The following is a 22,161-nucleotide window of genomic DNA, read 5'->3' on the forward strand; positions in this document are numbered from 1 at the left end:
AAGAGTTTAGTATGAACATGGATATAAAAAATTAACTGAAAATGAGATAATAGAAGATTTAATGTTTTTTGTTAAATATCATTCACTTACTAAACATTACCAAAGAGGGAATATAGAGCAGCATTGTACTTCGTTACCAAGGTGAGTACAAAATAGAAAACATGGTCTTGTTCCCCACCCTGAGGACTTGCTACTTTATTTAGAATAATGTATTTGTATGAAATATATGATATATATAAAATATAATATTCAGTTTCTTAGGGCTTTACCTTAGTGCCAGGCACCATTTTAAGTACTTTGATGTAGTACTTAATCAAAGTTTAATCACCATATAAAACCTACAAAGTAAATACTATTATTAGCTCTCAGATTGCAGATGAGAAGCTAATACAGAAAAATATAATCTCTGCTTAGCCTACTTTTTCAGCTTACCTATCAAATATGGATTTTGATGCTTTGGACAAGAGAGATTCTTATGTATATGTTGAGGCTGAGATAAGAACAGAGAATGAAAGTTATTGGAGAAAATTTACCTTGAGCTGGATCTGTAAAAAAGTTCTGGTTATAGATTTGTGGGTTTTCTATGCATAAGCAAAAGCACAGACACAAAATCTATGTGGTGTGATGATAAAGTCAAATGAATAATATAATAAACGCATGTAATTTAGCAATGGGCGATCACACGACCTAAAGGAATCTAGTTCTGCATATATAACTTATTTCTCTGCTCTTTAAAGAAAAAGGAAAACATAGCTGAATTATCTTCTCAGGTCATCTCCTGTGTGGATGACTTAATTCATATAAAATTGCTTTCCTTTATGGCTTATTTCCATTTGAGTAACAAGTTGGGGGAATAAGGTAAGTGTGATATGATGTATAACATTTTACCTGCCAAAATTTGCTGGATTTTAAATGACATGCTCAAAATTTGAAGTCTTTGAAGAATATACAATCAAGTGTTAAAACAAATGAACCTCATCGTACACTGGAATGTGATGGCATATTGAAACTCGACATGTTTACTAGGACGGGTTGCTATAATAATCACTCCACCTGCTGACATTCCCCTATGGCCTTCCTTTCTTTGCTGGTGAGATACTCACCTAGGTCCTTGGTGATACCTCACAGAGTGTAAGAAGGATGAGATGAAATGACTCTTTACATACTAATGAAAATACTGGCAGTTGTCTGTAGGCCTTATTTTGTAGTTCTTCAGGTTTAAGGGCTTGAACACTGTAGTATGTTAACAGTTGCACTCAGAATTCCTATTAAGGAGAGAACTGTCTTTGGGAAACTACATGAGCTGCTTGGAGTAGACAGTGGACCCTGGTTGCATTGGGATGAACATGAGCCTGGACTACAAAATAAGATGATAAATTACTCTGCCTGAGACCAGGAGGGACTTGTGGTTTGTTTTAACCTACAGATCAGTTGGAAAAAAGCAAAGCAAAGGACAGAAGACAAAAACTGGAGTGGAATTGCCATGTATTTACTGCAGTGGTGGGGTGACCAAAAGACAAGTTGGAAGTTATTTAGGTGGCCATGATATAAACCTCTTCCTTCAACATTGTCACCTCTCCCCACCCCCTGCACCAATCTAAACAATCTGATCTAAAAATGTAAATGGCTTTGTTAATTTGATAGAAATTAAAGAAGTTGATTGTAGCTTTTAGGCATCTGTGATATGGAATACACAGTATGGGTGAAAGACTGGTGAGCTAGAGATGACTTTAGAAGATAAACATTCCTTTTGGAATCTTCACAATTTATGTAGATGTCAAGGGTCTGGTAGAAAGTAACTGACATCTGAGTTATAAAAAGACCACGAGAGAAAAGAGGTTACTCTTAAGCCACAGTGTAGGGAGGCTTGATGAAAATCCACAGTGAATTCTTACCTCTGACTCTTATTTTCCAGCTACTTAAATAATAAAGAAACAAAAAATGTGAGCTTATTTTAAAATCTACACTCTTCAAATAAGTTTTCCATATTTTCTGACTATGGAAAGATAATTTTCTGAAAATGTCTCATCTTTGGCCAGTGGGAGTCTCTTTAAGTAGGCTCCTGTTGTCTTTTAATATAACCATAGTTGTCTTTGTTAACATTCTTGCTTTTAGGCATAAAAAGATATCTAGGCTTATGTATTTTCTGTCCTAGAGCTGAGTGTACAATTCTCCAAGAAGTCTTGGTTCATTTTAGTGGAAAATGGTATTTGGAGATGACAATTTTGGCACTAGAAGTGTTCATTGATACTGAGTTATTGTTTCTAAATCTTTTTAGCAGATATAGCTGGGAAATTTTTTAAAAAAAAAGAAAGATTTTTTTTTTTGAGGTGGAGTCTTGCTCTGTTGCCCAGGCTGGAGTGCAATGGCACAATCTTGGCTCACTGCAGCCTCTGCCTCCTGGGTTCAAGTGATTCTCCCTCCTCAGCCTCCTGAGTAGAAAGTTAAGTAATGAGTTCATACATTAATTCCAGTTCATATTAAGGATTAGAATGATTTTTACTTCTTTGATTTTATGCCTAGATCTCTTTCATGCTGAAAATTCTAGTTCCTAATGATTAATGTTAATATAATTGTTCATTTGGTTTATATATATCTATGTGTTATATAAATATAATGCTATTTGGGTATTTTTATATATAGTTTTAAAATAACAATATCAATGTTACCACTAACATCAAGACTACAGGATGCAATAGAATCTCTTTATGGTTCTTTTTGTCTTTAGGCTATAATCTACTGTATAGTCAAAATATTGTGTTTTAAAATCAATTGAACTAAATCTTTTCTGCTTGGTTATGCTACCAACTTGAAGTACAGTTCATTTCCTAATTTTTCTTCAGTATTTAAAAATTGGTCTTTTTCATTTTTAATTGACCATGTGAAACATTTTACCTGGTTCCAAATAAAAACTGTAAAGCAAATTATAGTTAGAAAGTCTAGCTTTTATCCTTTTACTACTTCTTGTTTTCTCCCTTACCCTATAGATAACTATTTATAAATTGTGTGTGTGTAATCTTGCATTTTTTTCTTAGAAAAATATGAGCATATTTGTATGTGTATCTATATTTATGTATTTATATCTGTTTATCTATATCTATTATCCCCTTTTCTTACATGTTTCTTTACCCTGATTTTTTTCACTTAATAAGTCCTGAGGATCACTCCATAGCAACATATAAAAGGTCTTTTTTTTATGTATGTGAAGTCCTCCATTATATAAACATTCCTTAGCTTTTTCAACAAGATACCTAGTGATGAACATTTGAGCAGTTTCCAGTCTTTGTTTTAACAAATAGAGAAATTAGTTTGCTCTAATACATAATAGTGTCTGATTCTCTACAGCCTCACTAATAGATTAGTCATATTTTTAGCTTTTTGCCAACCTCATAGGTGAGAAAAATTATCTACCTCAAATTGGAATCTCTAAAAGACAGAGTTAAAGGTAATTCCAAGGAAGTAGGGAGTACTCTCTCAAGGAAGCAACAGTGAGAGAAAAGCAAAGGGAGGAGGAAAAAAGGAGAACCAGTACAAGGTAATGAGTTACCAAGCTGGCCATAGCTTCACAAGAAACTCAGCTGATTGCTTGGTAAGGAGAGGCGGTTTCTTGGAAGGCGGGATAGAGTAGTACAATTAATTTGATTGCAATGCAGAGAGAAAAAGAATAGCAGGAATAGGCAGGTTGATAACAGTCATGTATAGCTTGACAACAGATTAAAAATTTACATTTTGCTGCATTGGCAGTGGAAAACCAGGAAACATTTTGAGCAGGAAAATGATTAAGAGCAAAGAGGATTTTAGGAAGATTCAACCTGGATTAAGGTTAGGAGTGTTTAGGGAACAGGTCACTAGTTGGAAAACAATTACATGTCCAGATGAGGAGTAATAGAAGACTGAATTAAGCATTGTTGGACAAAATATATAAAAGAAGACAGTCTGAGCAAAGGATGCTTAATTTGGGAACTTTGGCAGACCTTAGAGAATCTATTATTGGGTTCTAGGGGTTTGTAAACCTCTAAAATGATAAGCACATTTTTGTGTTCCAAGTATGTTCAGTTTTTAGGAGAAAGGGTTTTTGGCTTTGACCTGATGCTCAAAGGCATTTATAAGACAAAAAATAATTAGGAAATCCTGAATCAATGAGATTTTGTGATCACTGATAGATTTATGTTGTAAATAAGCCTCATTTATGAACTTAATCTTTGATGCATTTTACATTTTTACAACCACATTCTTCCAACTCCTATTGTACTTATTGTCTGTGCCACTCATTTTAACATCTAACTTGTTTTTGTAAGTTTTGTTTTTCCTACACTGCTTTTCTTTTTTTTTTTCAGATGGAGTTCCCCTCTTGTCATCCAGGCTGGAGTGCAGTGGTGCGATCTCAGCTCTCTGCACCTTCTGCCTCCCAGGTTCAAGCGATTCTCCTGCCTCAGCCTCCCAGGTAGCTGGGATTACAGGCACCCACCACCACACTGGCTAATTTTTGTATTTTTTAGTAGAGATGGGGTTTTGCCATGTTGACCAGGCTGGTCTTGAACTCCTGACCTCAGGTGATCCACCCATCTCGGCCTCCCAAAGTGCTGGGATTACAGGCATGAGCCACGATGACAGGGCTACACTGTGTTTTTCTTAAAGGGACACATCTGCATATTGTCCTCAGTCACAGGTTACTATACAACATGGTGACTATGGTTAGTAACAATGTCTTGTGTTTTGAAAATTGCTGAGAGTAGATTTTAAATATTCCAATCAGAAAAAATTATAAATATGTGAGGTAATGCATATGTTAATTAGCTCATTTGAGCCATTCCACAATGTATATATATTTTGAAACATCATGTTCTACATGATAAATATATCCAATTTTTATTTGTCAATTAAGAAAATAAAGGAAAAAAGTACCACTTAAATAAAACTTGCTTAAAAACACCTATTAAGCTAGACATGGTGGAAGAAATTGGCAAAAATGTAAAATATCTTTCTTCTCACTAAACATTTTTAGTTTGGAATCAAATAGCCATTTAATTAAAGCATTTTATTTACCTAAAAAAAAAAAAAAAGACACCTACCAAGCACATACACACATAGAACTAAGAACTAAACCCATTTTTTGTTTTTCACTTAAAAATTTTGTTTTAATGTAACCTTTTTTCTTTTTTATCCTTGGCTACTAAGAACAGAAATAGTTTTACATTTCTTTGTTGCATCAGAACTCATCCCAGGAGCATAAAGGCCTGAAATGAACTCTGCCTTATGATACTCACATTTGAGAAATTCCATTAGAACACAGATGGATCTGTGTGTGGTGATGAACTCGGAGCAGGAGAGAAGGGCTTTCATCACTTCACCAGGGTCCTGAACACACTGGAAACCTTATCAGGCCCCATCTCTCTCCTTACTTGGAATAAGACTTTCCCTTATGTACCAAAACAATGCCTCCCATCTCAGCTAAGAGGAAGGGAGCTAAAGGGAGCATTTTGAGTTGTTGTTTTAAATTTATAACATTAAACTGTTCATTGTTAAGACCCTTTGATCAGCTTTGAGGTTTTCCTTTTACAATTGATTCTAAACACCATAAAATTGGTGCTTCTGTGTTGGTACTTGCCTCTTGAGCATTTAACAAATATTTCATAAGGTGTGTTAGTTATTTTTCAGGAAAAGATTAAACTTTAGCTTTGAGCTGTCTATAAGGCTACCTAGAAATTCAATTTAATATTACCCTGCTTCAGTTGAAAAATAAAGTTTAGAGCCATATAAAATTAAGAATCTGTAACTAGGATAAGTACAGAAATAAACTTCTTAAACACTTTTGAAAAGTATATTACAAAGCACAATTTTTTTTTCTTTAAAGGAGGTATTCTTATATTGAGATTAGAAAAGAATTGTTTAAAACTGTCAAAAGGAATAAAATTCTTTAAACTGCTGCTGCCACTGGATCTGAATGTCTGTGAATGGGAGACTTAATATTTTTGAACAGCTTTATTGAGGTATAATTTACTTACCATAAAATTCACTTGTTTTAAGTTCAGGGATCTGTAAATTTAATGTTATTAAATGATGGTCACAAGAGCTACTTCTGGCTCTGTAGTATATCTTCATAGTTAGTAATTATTTTGTAATTATGTCAATAAGAGGATCCCCAAACTGGTCACAATTTTGATAAGAAAAATTTTTAGAATCCTGTAAGGAAATTTGTCAGATGTATCTTTCCCCCTGTACATTATTGCTTGTCTATTTGTTACTCAAATTTAGGCCCTCATGTTTGAGATACTGCATTCCACCCACACGGCAATCTATGAAATCCCCAGGATATGTGTTATAAAGAAAGGTATTTTCAATTTGGAGAAAATACAATGTGCCAACTGAAGATAATTTCAACGTTATTTTTTAAAATTAAGATGAAATGAACAGGTTACAACCAGTAAATAAAGAGCGACTTAACACTCTTGTTACCTCATTAAAATTATTTGCTGTTTTTAAGTTCATTTCTTGCTATTTAGATTCTGGAGAGAATCTTGACCCTCGAAATGGAAGATCTGATTTTGGGTCCTGCTGTACTACTCACAGGGTGCTCATACATCCTCTCGAATTACTCACAGTCTCTGGGGCTTATTTTCCCCCTATAATATTGGAATTAGGATACTGGCATTGAGTAATTTAGAGGGTTTTAGTGAGGAGCAATGGAAATAATATTTTAAAAAATGCTTTGTTACACACAAAGTCCTGTGCAATTGTAAGGTATTACGTTTAATATCGGAACTCAATAAAATTTCTATATTAATCAAAATAATCTGCAAATGGTTCTAAGTACCTATCTATACTTGGCACTATATATTCCAAGATAAATATATATGGCTCTTAGGTTCAAACTGTTAGGCTGTTTGGTCCACATGGAATAACGTAGGGTGGGGATGGATTCCCCACCTTCACCTTCAACTTCATATGCTTTCCTATTGCAACTTTCTAGATCCCTGTTTATTATCACATAAAAAAACCCCCAAAATACTTAGTAGTAACCCCTGAAGAATGACTACAACTCTTTAGATAAAGTGAAGTAAACGTGTGCTTCTAATTAAGTTTAGTTGTAGAGCAAATTAGAGTGCATACTTTGTAAAGCAATCTAAAGGTTTCATTAAAAATTGTAGAGAAGTAATGATAAAATTATAGTGGTAAAGCTAATGCCAAAAGTTATTGCTCTGTGATGGTGGCATCCCAAGCCTTACATTTTGTCCTCAGGAATTCCATGGGTTGAGTCAAACTATACATTTTTTTTCTCCACAAATTTTACTGTGACTAGCAGTTGTTTGAGCTTTGCTTTTGATCATTTTCTAGTGAGGAGGTGGAGGGGATTTGTTCAGGGAGAGTAAGAGATTCACTCATGTCTTTTAAAACTATGCTTTCTTCAGGGTAGGCTCTGTCTTTCAGGAGAAACTCTGACACTCCTCTTTCCCAGCTGCTTTGCAGGGAGCCGGTGTTCCTGGTGAACACTGTGTCCTGTGAGGAGCATTTTGACAAATCTCTCTTTAGCTGTCTTATACATGTATGAGACATAAGAAATTTATGAGTAGCTAGAGTGTAAGAAATTAAATGACATAGTGCTTACTTCCACTTTCTTTAGCATATTCCCAGAACCCCTCATATACTACTTTTGCATAGACGAGATGCTCAGCAAAAGGAGTAATTAATATAAAAACATTCTCCTTTCTTTTTTCCTTCTCACTCAATGGGTCCACGTTGGTTTCATACTAAAGTAGTTCAGAAGTCAAATTGTGTAGCTTTACTATTGCCCTTTCTAAAGGGGCTCAAACCTACATATGAAAGCAAATCCCAATATGTAAGCCTTTGTGTGGTTAACATTTCTGTCTACTCTCTCAATAGTATGGATTTAAGTGATATTTTTCATGGTGCCTGGAATGAGATGTAGTGATTCACTGTCATTGTTTCACAGAACTAAGATGGCATAAATGCTGTGCTGATCCTATTTTTAGTTGCCTTCACCTGTCCTCCCATCATGTAACAAGTCTACATAAGAACATTTTAAATATGTGCATCTGTTTGTGTTCCTAGTTTGTACAAGTGGAATGACAGAGTGGAGTACCAGTTAGAGTGCAAACAACCTGCTACTTTCATTCCTAATAACGTCATACTTACTAAACACTAGTTCCACTCTCTATGCATGTCCCACCATTGCCACATTTCATTAAACTGCAGGGAGAAGCATGACACTGGCCAACACTGCGTCCAGCATTTGGGTGGCCCTCAGGATTTCCCAGTCCTCTGAAATGGCCATCCTTCTCAGTGCGAACTTGAAGAGTGAAAATACAGCCTTGAAGAAATGCAAAAACACTTCGTGTTAACAAACAGAAGAAATAGAAAAAACAAGAAGAAGGTTATTTTTCATTTTTAAAGTAGAAGTTTTTCAAAATAAAGTAATACATGTAAATTTTAAAAGAAATATAAGAATACAGAAATGCGCAGAGAAATTTTTTTTTAAAAGTCATTCATGATATCATTTCACAGCAGACAACTATTAACATTTTGGTGTGTGTGTGTGTGTGGTATTTTTTCTATGCTTAGTCATATTTTCTTTTAAACAAAAATGCAATCTGCACTAAGCTGTAGAAAATATAATATTATACCAAAAAGTTGAACATCATAAATAACATTAACTTTTTTCTTGTAGCATTAACTATTTTTAAGTGATGGCATATTTTCTTATATCAAAATATATTTAATAAACCTATAATTATTATACCATTGACTTATTTATACTTTTTGCTATTAGAAATAAAATTGTAATGAATATCTTATGTGTATATCTTTGTCCATTTAAATTATTTTTAGTACATATTTCTAGAAGTAGAATTACTAGGGGAAAAGATATAGATGCTTTGAAGTATGCCTAAGTGTCCCCCATAGATCACAACTGGACTCAGGAGACTGGGATACCCCTTTCTTCACAGGCACTACCATGCCTGGGATTACCATTCCATTTCATTTTTACATGCGATAGCTAATAAAATACTATTTTACCGTTTTTGGTTGGGTATCAAAAATCTTTTAACAAATTTATTGGTCATTCATAATTTATATTATAATTTGTATTTATAGTATATAAAGAGAGTCTCCTTATATAATGAGGACATTAGCTATTTGTAATATACGGTAAATAAACTTTCTCCAGTTTAATATTTACCACTCAATTTTGCTATGGTAGTTTTTTTTTTTTTTAGGTAAAGAAGTTTATGTTTATGTTGTCACATTTTTCTCTTTTTTCTTTCAGAGATTTTGCCTTTCTATACATCTTTAGAAAGAACTTCTCGGCCGGGAACGGTGGCTCATGCCTGTAATCCCAGCACTTTGGGAGGCCGAGGCGGGTGGATCACGAGGTCAGGAGATTGAGACCATCCTGGCTAACATGGTGAAACCCCATCTCTATTAAAAATACAATTAGCCGGGCGTGGTGGCGGGTGCCTGTAGTCCCAGCTACTCGGGAGGCTGAGGCAGGAGAATTGTGTGAACTCCAGAGGCAGAGCTTGAAGTGAGCTGAGATCGCGCCACTGCACTCCAGCCTGGGCAACAGAGCGAGAGTCTGTTTCAAAAAAAAAAAAACCAAACAAACAAAAATAACTTTTCTACCCCAAGATTGGATAAATATATGTAAATAAAAAGGACAGTTCAGTGAAAAATTTGAAATGAAAGTGTTTGAAATCCTGAAATGTATTGTAATTTTACTCAGCTCCTTTAGCAGTTACTTATAGTTTATTTGCAAAGTTCTTTCAAATAAATGGGAACATCAACCAGAAATAAGGTCTTTAAAATGATAAAATAAAGGCAAGATTGAATTTTATTTTCAAAACTTTTTTTTGGAGGCATAAAAAGCTTTCTTTTTCTTTTTTTTGTCATTGTTATACTTTAAGTTCTAGGGTACATGTGCATACCTTGCAGGTTTGTTATACTGTATACATGTGCCATGTTGGTGTGCTGCACCCATTAACTCGTCATTTACATTAGGTATTCCTCCTGATGCTATCCCTCCGCACTCCCCCGACCCCATGACAGGCCCCAGTGTGTGATGTTCCCCACCCTGTGTCCAAGTGTTCTCATTGTTCAATTCCCACCTATGAGTGAGAACATGCAGTGTTTGGTTTTCTGTCCTTGGGATAGTATGCTCAGAATGATGGTTTACAGCTTCATCCATGTCCCTACAAAGGACATGAACTCATCCTTTTTTATGGCTGCATAGTATTCCATGGTGTATATGTGCCACATTTTCTTAATCCAGTCTATCATTGATGGGCATTTGGGTTGGTTCCAAGTCTTTGCTATTGTGAATAGTGCTGCAATAAACATACGTGTGCATGTGTCTTTATAGCAGCATGTTTTATAATCCTTTAGGTATATGCCCAGTAATGGGATCGCTGGGTCAAATGGTATTTCTAGTTCTAGATCCTTGAGGAATCCACTCACTGTCTTCCACAATGGTTGAACTAGTTTACAGTACCGCCAACAGTGTAAAAGTGTTCCTATTTCTCCACATCCTCTCCAGCACCTGTTGTTTCCTGATTTTTTAATGATCGGCATTCTAACTGATGTGAGATGGTATCTCATTGTGGTTTTGATTTGCATTTCTCTGATGGCCACTGATGATGAGCATTTTTTCATGTGTCTGTTGGTTGCATAAATGTCTTCTTTTGAGAAGTGTCTGTTCATATCCTTTGCCCAGTTTTTGATAGGGTTGTTTGATTTTTTCTTGTAAATTTGTTTAAGTTTTTTGTAGATTCTGGATATTAGCCTTTTGTCAGATGGGTAGATTGCAAAAATTTTCTCCCATTCTGTAGGTTGCCTGTTCACTCTGATGGTAGTTTCTTTTGCTGTGCAGAAGCTCTTTAGTTTAATTAGATCCCATTTGTCAATTTTGGCTTTTGTTGCCATTGCTTTTGATGTTTTAGACATGAAGTCCTTGCCTATGCCTATGTCCTGAATGGTATTGCCTAGATTTTCTTCTAGGGTTTTTATGGTTTTAGGTCTAACATTTAAGTCTTCAATCCATCTTGAATTAATTTTTGTATAAGGTGTAAGGAAGGAATCCAGTTTCAGCTTTCTACATATGACTAGCCAGTTTTCCCAGAACCATTTATTAAGTAGGGAATCCTTTCCCAATTTCTTGTTTTTATCAGATTTGTCAAAGATCAGATGGTTGTAGATGTGTGCTATTATTTCTGAAGGCTCTGTTCTTTTCCATTGGTCTATATCTCTGTTTTGGTAGCAGTACCATGCTGTTTTGGTTACTGTAGCCTTGTAGTATAGTTTGAAGTCACGTAGCGTGATGCCTCCAGGTTTGTCCTTTTTGCTTAGGATTGTCTGGGCAATATGGGCTCTTTTTTGGTTCCATATGAACTTTAAAGTAGTTTTTTCCAATTTTGTGAAGAAAGTCATTGGTAGCTTGATGGGGATGACATTAAATCTATAAATTACCTTGGGCAGTATGGCCATTTTCATGATATTGATTCTTCCTGTCCATGAGCATGGAATGTTCTTCCATTTGTTTGTGTCCTCTTTTATTTCATTGAGCAGTGGTTTGTAGTTCTCCTTGAAGAGGTCCTTCACATCCCTTGTAAGTTGGATTCCTAGGTATTTTACTCTCTTTGAAGCAATTGTGAATGGGAGTTCACTCATGATTTGGCTCTCTGTTTGTCTGTTATTGGTGTATAGGAATGCTTGTGATTTTTGCACATTAATTTTGTATCCTGAGACTTTGCTGAAGTTGCTTATCAGCTTAAGGAGATTTTGGGCTGAGACAATGGGGTTTTCTAAATATACAATCATGTCATCTGCAAACAGGGACAATCTTACTTCCTCTTTTCCTTATTGAATTCCCTTTCTTTCTTCCTCCTGCCTGATTGCCCTAGCCAGAACTTCCAACAGTATGTTGAATGGGAGTGGTGAGAGAGGGCATCCCTATCTTGTGCCGGTTTTCAAAGGGGATCCTTTCAGTTTTTGCCCATTCAGTATGATATTGGCTGTGGGTTTGTCATAAATAGCTCTTATTATTTTGAGATACATCCCATCAATACCTAGTTTATTGAGAGTTTTTATCATGAAGAGCTGTTGAATTTTGTTAAAAGCCTTTTCTGCATCTATTGAGATAACCATGTGGTTTTTGTTTGTGGTTCTGTTTATATGATGGATTACATTTATTGATTTGTGTATGTTGAACTAGCCTTGCATCCCAGGGATGAAGCCAACTTGATCATGGTGGATAAGCTTTTTGATGTGCTGCTGGATTCAGTTTGCCAGTATTTTATTGAGGATTTTTGCATTGATGTTTATCAAGGATATTGGTCTAAAATTCTCTTTTTGTGTTGTTTCTCTGCCAGGCTTTGGTATCAGGATGATGCTGCCCTCATAAAATGAATTAGGGAAGATTCCCTCTTTTTCTATTGATTGGAATAGTTTCAGAAGGAATGGTGCCAGCTCCTCTTTGTACCTCTGGTGGAATTCAGCTGTGAATCTGTCTGGTCCTGGACTTTTTTGGGTTGGTAGGCTATTAATTATTGCCTCAATTTCAGAGCCTGTTATTGGTCTATTCAGGGATTCAACTTCTTCCTGCTTTAGTCTTGGGAGGATATATGTGTCCAGGAATTTATCCATTTCTTCTAACTTTTCTAGTTTATTTGTGTAGAGGTGTTTATAGTATTCGCTGATGGTAGTTGGTATTTCTGTGGGATCGGTGGTGATATCGCCTTCATCATTTTTTATTGCATCTATTTGATTCTTCTCTCTTTTCTTCTTTATTAGTCTTGCTAGCAGTCTATCCATTTTGTTGATCTTTTCAAAAAACCAGCTTCTGGATTCATTGATTTTTTGAAGGGGTTTTTGTGTCTCTATCTCCTTCAGTTCTGCTCTGATCTTAGTTATTTATTGCCTTCTGCTAGTGTTTGAATGTGTTTGCTCTTGCTTCTCTAGTTCTTTTAATTGTGTTGTTAGGGTGTCAATTTTAGATCTTTCCTGCTTTCTCTTGTTGGCATTTAGCCAACCATTTGACTGACTAGGTACCAAATAAGTAATAGCTTTTTTTTTTAAACTGCAGTATAGCTTTTTTTTTTTTTATCCTGGGTTTCTAAATTATTGCAGTAAACTGATTACATTTTCCCATATGGGCTCTTCTTTGAAGAATCTCATATGATTAAAAAAAGGAGAGAGAAAAAAATTGAACTCACAAGAAACCGAAAGTACTGACCGTGTTGGCTATTTTTAGATGAGAATAACTCTCATTTACAGGGTTGTTAATAAATCTGAATCTATCTCATGTCCACTCTATTCAGAGTAGTAAATATTTAATAACCTCCATATCAATGAGCAGTAGTTGCTGTAACACTAGAAGCTTATTTCCTGTTCATGTAAAGTCCAAAGGGTGGTTAGGGTTGGCATCCAGGTGAGTTGGCAAACAGAGTACAGGACTGTGCAGAAGATTTTCATAGGCAAGGCCTGGAAGTAGCAACTATTACACCTGCTGACATCTCACTGGCCAGAACTCAGGCACATGGTCATGCATAGCTGTAAGAGAGTCTGGGAAAGATCTGGTGGTAACAACATGTCACAAGCATGTATTATGTGAAAGCACCATTCCAGGTGCTGTGGAGATCTGTTATCAGTAAAAACTAAAAATCCTATTCTCCAGAAGCTTACTAAATTCTAAATTAAGACATACATTCTCTAGGTATATAATTATATTAGGTATGAAATGCTAAGTGGGAAAAGACTTGGTGCTCCAAAGACTTCAGAAAGAGCTCACTCTCAATGAGTGAGCTCAGAGAGTGGGCTCTCATTGAGGAGGTGTGATTTGAGCTTGCTTTCCAGGCAAATGGAATTTGAAGAGGTGGAGAATGCTGATTTAAGCACGGGCCCTGAGGCAGGGAAAATAAGACATACAGAGAGGCAGTGGCTAGATATAGTGATAGTTGATTTTATGTGCCAACCTGACTTGGCCATGGGGTGCCCAGATACTTGGTCAAATATTGTGTGTGTGTGTGTGTGTTAGGATGAGATTAACACTTGAATTGATAAACTGGGTAAAGCAGATTGCCCTCCCTAATGTGGGTGGGCCTCATTCAATCACTGAAGACCTAAATGGAACAAAAAAGAGGGAATTCTTCCTGCCTGATTACTTGAGCTGGGACATTGGTCTTTTCCAGCCTTCGTACTTGGACTGAAACATTGGCTTTTCTTGGGTCTTGAGCCTGATGGCTTTCAGACTGGAACTCACACCACTTGCTCTCCTTGTTCTTAGGGTTTCAGACTCAGGCTGGAGCTACACATCAATTATCCTGGGTCTCCAGGTTGCTGACTGTGGATTTTGGGACTTCTCAGCTTCCATAATCATGTGACCCAATTCCTTATTAAAAATCTCTCTCTCTCTCTCTCTGTGCACACCTGATTGGTTCTGTTTCTCTGGAGATGCCTGACTAATACAGATAGATTTTATTGAATTAAAAAATCAGTGGAAGCGAGTTAAGTATAGAAAAAATACATGGGTTTTGGAATGTCAGGGGTGTTAGTCCATTCTCACATTGCTGTAACTTACTACCTGAAACTGGGTAATTTATAAAGAAAAGAGATTTAATTGGCTCATGGTTTCACAGGCCATGCAGGAACCATGGCTGGGGAGGTCTCAGGAAACTTACAGTCATGATGGAAGGTGAAGAGGAAGGAGGTATGTCTTACATGGCTGGAGCAGGAGGAAAAGAGTGAAGGGGGGTGATACACACTATTAAACAACCAGATCTCATGAGAACGCACTATCACAAGAACAGCAAGGGGGAAATCTACCCCCATGATCCAAACACCTCCCACTTGGCCCCTCCTCCAGCACTGGAGATCACAATTTGACATGACATTTGGGCAGGAACACAAATCCAAACCATATCACCATGTAAAAAATTCAGTTATTATTCTAGAGTTGACAGGGTGTCTGTTGCGTTCTAGAGCAGGAAAATGGTATAATTCATTAGCATGGCAATAGGGTTATGATGTGTCAGTTAATCAGGGAAGGGTGAGTAGTCAAAGATGACAGTAAGCCTGTCATTCTAACTTCAGTTGCATCAGAATCACCTGAAGAGCTCATTAAAATACATATTACTGGGCCCCATTCCCTGAGTTTCTGGTTCAATTACAATTTGCATCTCTAACAAACTTCCCAGTGATGCTGATATTGCTGACCCAGGGACCACATTTTGAGAACCACTGTACAAAGGATTCAAACAAGTATTAGAGGGACTGGTAGCAATAGTAAAAGAAATAAGTAAAGAAGTATATTCAGAAAAGGCATTTGTGGTGAAGATGAGATGTTTCACTTCAGTTATTCTGCTTCTATAGCTGCCTTTAGCACAATTAACAGCTCAGCAAGATTATCTACAGGCAACAGAACTTCTAGTGAAAGGACCCAGCTTATTTTCACTTGTGGCCTAACCAGTTTTACTTGTTTCTTCCCCTTATTCCTCCTTTCCCTTCTTCCATATCTTCTTGTCTTCCTTCCTTCATTCCGTGCCCAGTCTGAGACCACCATTCATGAGCCTCATTCTGAGAACTCTGCAGCTTTGTAGCAGATGCAACTTTGGAAAGCAGAGGAGAGGAGAACTGATCTTATTAGGGCAGATAAAACAGTAAGGCACAGCGTATTTGGCAGATGTAGATTATTTAAGGTGGTTAGTCTCAATACCTTTATGAGCATTAAAGGTCATAGAAAAAATAATGGTTCATTATAAGCCATTTTTTAGAACAAAAACAAATGTGCTTTATTAGCAGTAAGGATTTATATTTTAGATCACGAACTTTGGATTAGAGTTATTTATCAAGAGTTTATAGGAATCGGCTGGGCACGGTGGCTCAAGCCTGCAATCCCAGCACTTTGGGAGGCCGAGGCAGGCGGATGGCTTGAGCCCAGGATTTCAAGACCATCCTGGGCAACCTGGAAAATCCCTGTCTCTAATAAAAATACAAAAATTAACTGGGTGTGATGATGCAGTTCTCAAGTTCATGGATAGTAGGCCAGACCTGGTTGAGTGACTGAGAACACTATAAGAACAGACCTTTGACCAAGTACCCTGGGACTAGGATCTACCAAAAAGCTATCTTCACCAAATGAATTGTTATTACAATTTAAAGCATGTCTTTATTTTATAACTCTACTACAATATAAATCAGCTTTGTAAGGATATGTTAGCTGGGTTTAGTGGCTCAGCTACATGAGAGGCTAAGGTGGGAGGATTGATTGAGCCCTGGAGATGAAGGTTGCAGTGAGCTGAGATGGCACCACTGTACTCCAGCCTTGATGACACAGCGAGACTCAAAAAAAAAAAAAAAAAAAGGTAAAGTAAAATAAAAATAAAGAGTTTATAAAAATGTAAAAGCCTAGATCAGATAATATTTTATTGCATTATTTAATTGTAATTCTAAGGACAAATGTGATATCCTTACTCCAACTATTAAATTCTTTCAGAAAATTCCATTTGCTTTGCTTCGTTATGATTAATTAATGTGGTGGCTTCCACATCATTCTCAGCAAATTAACCCAGGAACAGAAAATGAAACACCTCATGTTCTCACTCATAAGTGGGAGTTGAACAATGAAAATGCACGGACACAGGGAGGGGAACATCACATACCGGGGCCTGTCAAGGGGTGGGGGGCAAGGGGAGGGAGAGCCTTAGGACAAATACCTAATGCATGCAGGGCTTAAAACCTAGATGATGGGTTGATGAGTGTAGCAAACCACCATGACACATGTATACTATGTAACAAACCTGCACATTCTGCACTTGTATCCTAGAACTTAAAGTTAAAAAAAAAAAGAGATAATTTAAAAAATATATGGTGGCTTCCAAATCTGGGAGGCTTGTTAAAATGCAAATTTTTAGATCCCACTGTAAAGATTTCAATTCAATAGTTCTTGGGTAGGGTTCAGAAATCTGTGTTTTTAAGAAGTTATCCTATATTATTCTTCAGAACCAGTAGAGATCAGCTTTGGGAACCATGGATTTATGGTACAGTTGCAATTTGGTTGTCCTGGTAAGTTGGTAACAATACGCCATGATTTATAATAAATAGTAAATGCTAGTTTAGAGTGGAGGGAAGGCAGACATTAAGAGAGGATCCAAGAGAAGAATGATAAAATTAGGGGATCTCAAGGTCCTGAATTTTCTATAAGACTGTGGCATAAGTGGCAATTTCCAAGAAGACTTGCCCAAGATTCCCATACTCACTAAAGACTGTGGCAGTTGACATACTTCCAGGAGTGTGCAATCTTAATGTTTCTGTAAGAGAAAGGGCCAGCTCTGTGTGTGCTGATCTCATTTGAACACGGAACTATTTGAACACAGGAAGACAGACTGTGGCAATAAGATTGCTCACCCAAGCACAATGTTGTCCTTAATCCTCTTGGCTTGCTCTGGCCTCTGTGGGCTACCCCTTGGTGGTATGGATGGGTTGACTGCAGTCTGTCTCTTGCCTTTTGAACTTCAAAGTTAGATGGACTTTCAATTTTTACTGTGACTCTTTGAAGTCTACCCTGCTCAGCCTATTTTAAAAAGCACCCTGTATAAACAATTACCCATAATCCTGATTCCTTTAAATCATGCTCTCCATTTCCCTTTTCCCATTGAACTTATCACATTATATGACTATATAATTAACTAATTACATTTAGTGTTTATCTCTCCAACTAGTTATAAGTGCAGAAATCTTTGATTTGTTCATTAAAACATCCTAAACATCTAGTACATATGTAGTAAGTGGTCAATAAATAGTAAATGAGGCTGGGCATGGCCTGTAATCCCAGCACTTTGGGAGGCCAAGGCAGGCGGATCACCTGAGGTCGGGAGTTCGAGACCAGCCTGACCAACATGGAGAAACCTCATCTCCTAAAAATGCAAAATTAGCTGGGCGTGGTTGTGCATGCCTGTAATCCCAGCTACTAGGGAGGCTGAGGCAGGAGAATCACTTGAACCCAGGAGGCAGAGGTTGTGGTGAGCCCAGATTGCATCATTGCACTCCAGCCTGGGCAACAAGAGCGAAACTCCATCTAAAAAAAAAATAGTAAATGAATGTTTCTGATTAAAATCAAACTTTGTTCAAGTCTGAAAGCAATCCATATAGCTGGTTTGGGAAATAGAAGTATACTCTTTAAAATATTTTTTTCCCTCAACATTTGAAATAAGTAGGTATAATATAAAAAATGTCCATGCCTTACCTTGAAAACCATTTTTAAAATCTGCTCCATTTGGTAAGAGATCTGGAGTGTATTCACTGTAGCCACCTACATAAAACTGACTGAAGACATTGAGACCAACCAGTCTTCCTGGGGCGATAATGGATTTATTTTTATGATCATCTACCTTCGAAAGGGAAAAAAAACCTATTAAAAAAGGAATTAATTCCCCAGGGTGAAATGTTAAGATACTCTTTTGTTATTTCCCATTAACTTGGCATGAAAAATTTACAAAGACCTGAATTTTGAAGAAATAACATGATACCACTCAATTCTCTGCTTCTCTGCTGGTGTCTGTTACCAGGGATATATTAATATAGCAGTCATGGTTTTGCATTTCAATCAAAATCAAAGTTCTTCAAAGATTAGGTGCTGGCATCCTGCTGATTCCCCTCCATTTAGCCTTCCTCCTCTGCTATCAATTCTCCATAGAACCACCAGAGTCCTTTATCAAAAATTAGAAATCAACATGGTACCCACCTTCCTAAGTAGCTCTTCATAGTTCTTTAGATAAAAATATAAACTTCTTAGCACATCTAAGCCCTTTGATAATATAGACCTTATCTGTCTCTAACCACTTCTCTAGCTCCCCCATCCCCCAACCTAAAAACCATGCTGAACTACTTGCATTCCTTAAGCTAATACTGGCCATTGTTCTCTTTCTTAACTCCTATTTGAAGTTACGCTCAAGCATCACCTTCTCTGGGAAGCACTTTCTGAATCCTCTCTCTCACCCTTATCTGTGTTAGTAATCCCTCTTATTTGTTCTCACACCACTTAATTGTAATCATCTCTCTATTCCCCTAGTTGGTACAATAGTCTGTGAACTTCGTGGATGTAGGCATCATGGGCTATTCACCTCTGTATCTTAGCACAGATCTGACAATATACTAGTGCTCTCAGTTTGTGGAAGTGACGAAGGAATGACTCTTTACCTTCAGCCAGCCCTCTTGGAAGAACTTGCCCAGATGAACAGTGTGGACTCCAAGGCTCAGATTGAGGGGCTCGCTCCTGATGCTTGCTATGCCAGACCCCAGGTTATAACTATAAACCACACTGCCATTGAGCAGGCCCACAGCCAGGAAGTCATCGCCATTCAACCCTGGAATGAGAAGACACATGGGGAATGCTCACTGAGAGGAAATTCAGGAGTTCCGTCAGCTTTATTTTACTGACTGGTTCTGAATTACAGATCAGTATGGTAAGTTATAATACATATTTAGTCTCTAGTCAGCATTTAGGTATATGTGCAACTGGCTGTTGTTATTCCCAGCCCCAGAAACAGAGCACCAAGAGTTTATGTCTTTGAAGCCATGAGGGTTCTGGTCAACCTGGGGAATGATCAATGATCAACTAAAAAGTTGAATGGGATTAAAATCTCCTTTTGTCGGAGTGAAATTCAGTGTGCACTTTACAATAAGGAGAACTTCACAATGGAGTAGAATTGCTCCGGTAGCTAACGAGATTCAAAAGGCTGAGATGACCTAGCATCAGCTTTGAAGTTCTTTCTATGATTTGAGAATAGGATAAAGACCAATTTATTCCTATGATTGCTAAGAATATGTTATCATTATTCTATTACAAAAGCTCTTAACCATGCCCCATGACCATTTAAAGGTGGATTGTTTCTGTGTTCCCTCTTCTCTCTCTCCTTCCATTAGTTCAGAGCCATCCATGCAGTACAGTGAGTTCCAGGACCCAGAACACTCAGGAGACAGTTCTTAAAGACCCACGGGACAAAGGAAGTGGTTGGGAGTGACCCAGCATTAATCACTAGGGGAAGGTGCTAGCAGTATCCTTGGCGGGATTAAGAAGTTCTGGGATGATCCATCAGTATATAGCAAGAGATCTGTTCACAGGAAGCAGAGACCCAAATACGTCACCCAGCTTCTGAAAGGTGTGTTAGTGGGTGGGGCAAAAGAAGAATTCAATACTGAGGCTAGCAGTCAGGAAACTGAGGCAAAGACTTCTGCTTAGAGGAAGAACGTAAGAACCCCCTAGAAGTAAGAGGTTTAAGCATGGGAGAAAAAGCTGAATTGAGTCCTTGACATAGAAAAAATTTATTATGAGTATGCACAGCCTCCTCCTTCTGCATTTATAGGAATGATGCTTTGTCTGTTGACTGGGCTTCTAGTATTACTTTGATCAGGGTAAAGGAGAGAAAGATCTACAGGGAGGTAGGTTTCCAGATAGGGTGGAGAGGTGGGCTTCCTGAGGCACTGGAAAGTGGAAGACAGAAATATTATTTAGAGATACTTGAACGCTGCCTCTGCTTTTCTAAAGGGTCTGCCATGGGCCCTGAGCAGGGTTACTTTTGAAAGCTCTCTAGGTGAGTCTAATATATACAGTCATGGTTAAGAGCAACTGTATTAAGTGACCTACCATAGACCGAGTACATTGGGAACTTATGGCAAGTCTCTTTTTCACTTCCTCACATTCTGGTGATTTCTTCCCACCTGCAATGCTGCATCAGGTTAGCTGGGTTGTATATTTAAAACGGAAAGTTCAATGTTTCAAGAGAAAACATAGATTCAGGAAGGCAGTTAGAAAGGCAGAAAGGAGAAAACAATACTAGAGATTGGAGATAGTCTTTCAGGCAGCTGTTGGGATATAGAAGAAATTGGGAGGGGTGGAGGAGGAAACATGAGATTTTTCTGTGGGTTGTGAATGGGAATTTTTCTGAGAGATTCTGGAGGGGATCTGAATTGTCTTTCAAATTGTCCAGGTTATGGGAGTGGAGCCAGTATTGTGCCAGCCGAGCTGTAAGGTAGTGGGAGGGCATATTCATTTCAGCTGTATCCTTCCTTTCTGTCTTGTGCTCTCCTTCCTCCAGTTATGGAGAACCCATTTCATGCCAGGAGCATCATTATTATCCTTAGGTCCTTGACAGCCTGGTCAGGAGGAGATAGGAGGTTTGTTTCAAGTTCCACGAAGAGCAGAATAGAAACAAATGGGGGCAGCCATTAAGACATGGTGAGGAAGAGGGTTAGGAAAGCAAAAAGGTGGTTTTTGAGTCAGTTTCTGAGCTCACCCAGAAAATGACAAGCAAGAGCTTGTTAGATGAAAAAAGAGGATACAGTGAAGAGTGCTGTTTAAATCAGAAGGGAGAACTTTGCAGCAACCCAGAAGGAGAAGAACAGGGTATGTTTAAGAACTGCTGGGGCCGGGCACGGTGGCTCACGCCTGTAATCCCAGCACTTTGGGAGACCGAGGCGGGCAGATCATGAGGTCAGGAGATCAAGACCATCCTGGCCATCCTGGCTAACACGGTGAAACCCCATCTCTACTAAAAATACAAAAACAAAATTAGCCGGGCGTGGTGGCGCATGCCTGTAGTTCCAGCTATTCAGGAGGCTGAGGCAGGAGAATGGCGGGAACCTGGGAGGCAGATCTTGCAGTGAGCCGAGATCGTACCACTGCACTCCAGCCTGGGCAACAGAGCGAGACTCCCTCTCAAAAAAAAAAAAAAAAAAAGAAGAAGAACTGCTGGGATGTGGGCTTGACTGGCATTTAGTGCCTGTGGCAGGAAAGGAAACTGAAAAGGGAGAAAGGGCTATATCTTTAAGGGTCTAATATGCTGCAATGAATGATGTAAGTATTTTACCAGAGACTCTTAGGAATCATGAAAGGATTTTGAATAAGAGAAGTGTATTAGATCTGGATGTTAGAAGAATCTTCTAGTAATGTTGAGGATAGAATATAGAGGTACATAAGGAGGCTCATTGGAAAGTCATTCAAGTGATTCAGAAGAGGAAATGATACTGAAATACATTAAACACCTAAATAAATTAAGGTAGTGACAGAGGGGTCAGAAAAATGGGAGGAAATTTGCTTGTGATTTGGAAGGAAAATTTGAAAGGACAGATCAATTTGGGTGAAGAGCTGAGGAA

General features: G+C 37.7%; 1 protein-coding gene across 2 annotated transcripts in view; it reads right to left on the minus strand.

The window, feature by feature from the left end:
* EYS (eyes shut homolog) overlaps positions 1 to 22,161 on the minus strand; it is a 1,987,247-nt gene that overhangs the window by 49,872 nt on the left and 1,915,214 nt on the right. For both annotated transcript variants that reach the window (NM_001142800.2, NM_001292009.2), the window contains exons 38-40: positions 19,207 to 19,373; positions 18,254 to 18,398; positions 8,155 to 8,329 (exon numbers count right to left, since the gene is read on the minus strand). In NM_001142800.2, coding sequence (NP_001136272.1) covers positions 8,155 to 8,329; positions 18,254 to 18,398; positions 19,207 to 19,373 — 487 coding nt within the window. The remainder of the gene's footprint in view (positions 1 to 8,154; positions 8,330 to 18,253; positions 18,399 to 19,206; positions 19,374 to 22,161) is intronic.

The sequence above is a fragment of the Homo sapiens genome, chromosome 6 (genome assembly GCF_000001405.40).
Source record: "Homo sapiens chromosome 6, GRCh38.p14 Primary Assembly".
Classification (NCBI taxonomy): domain Eukaryota; kingdom Metazoa; phylum Chordata; class Mammalia; order Primates; family Hominidae; genus Homo; species Homo sapiens.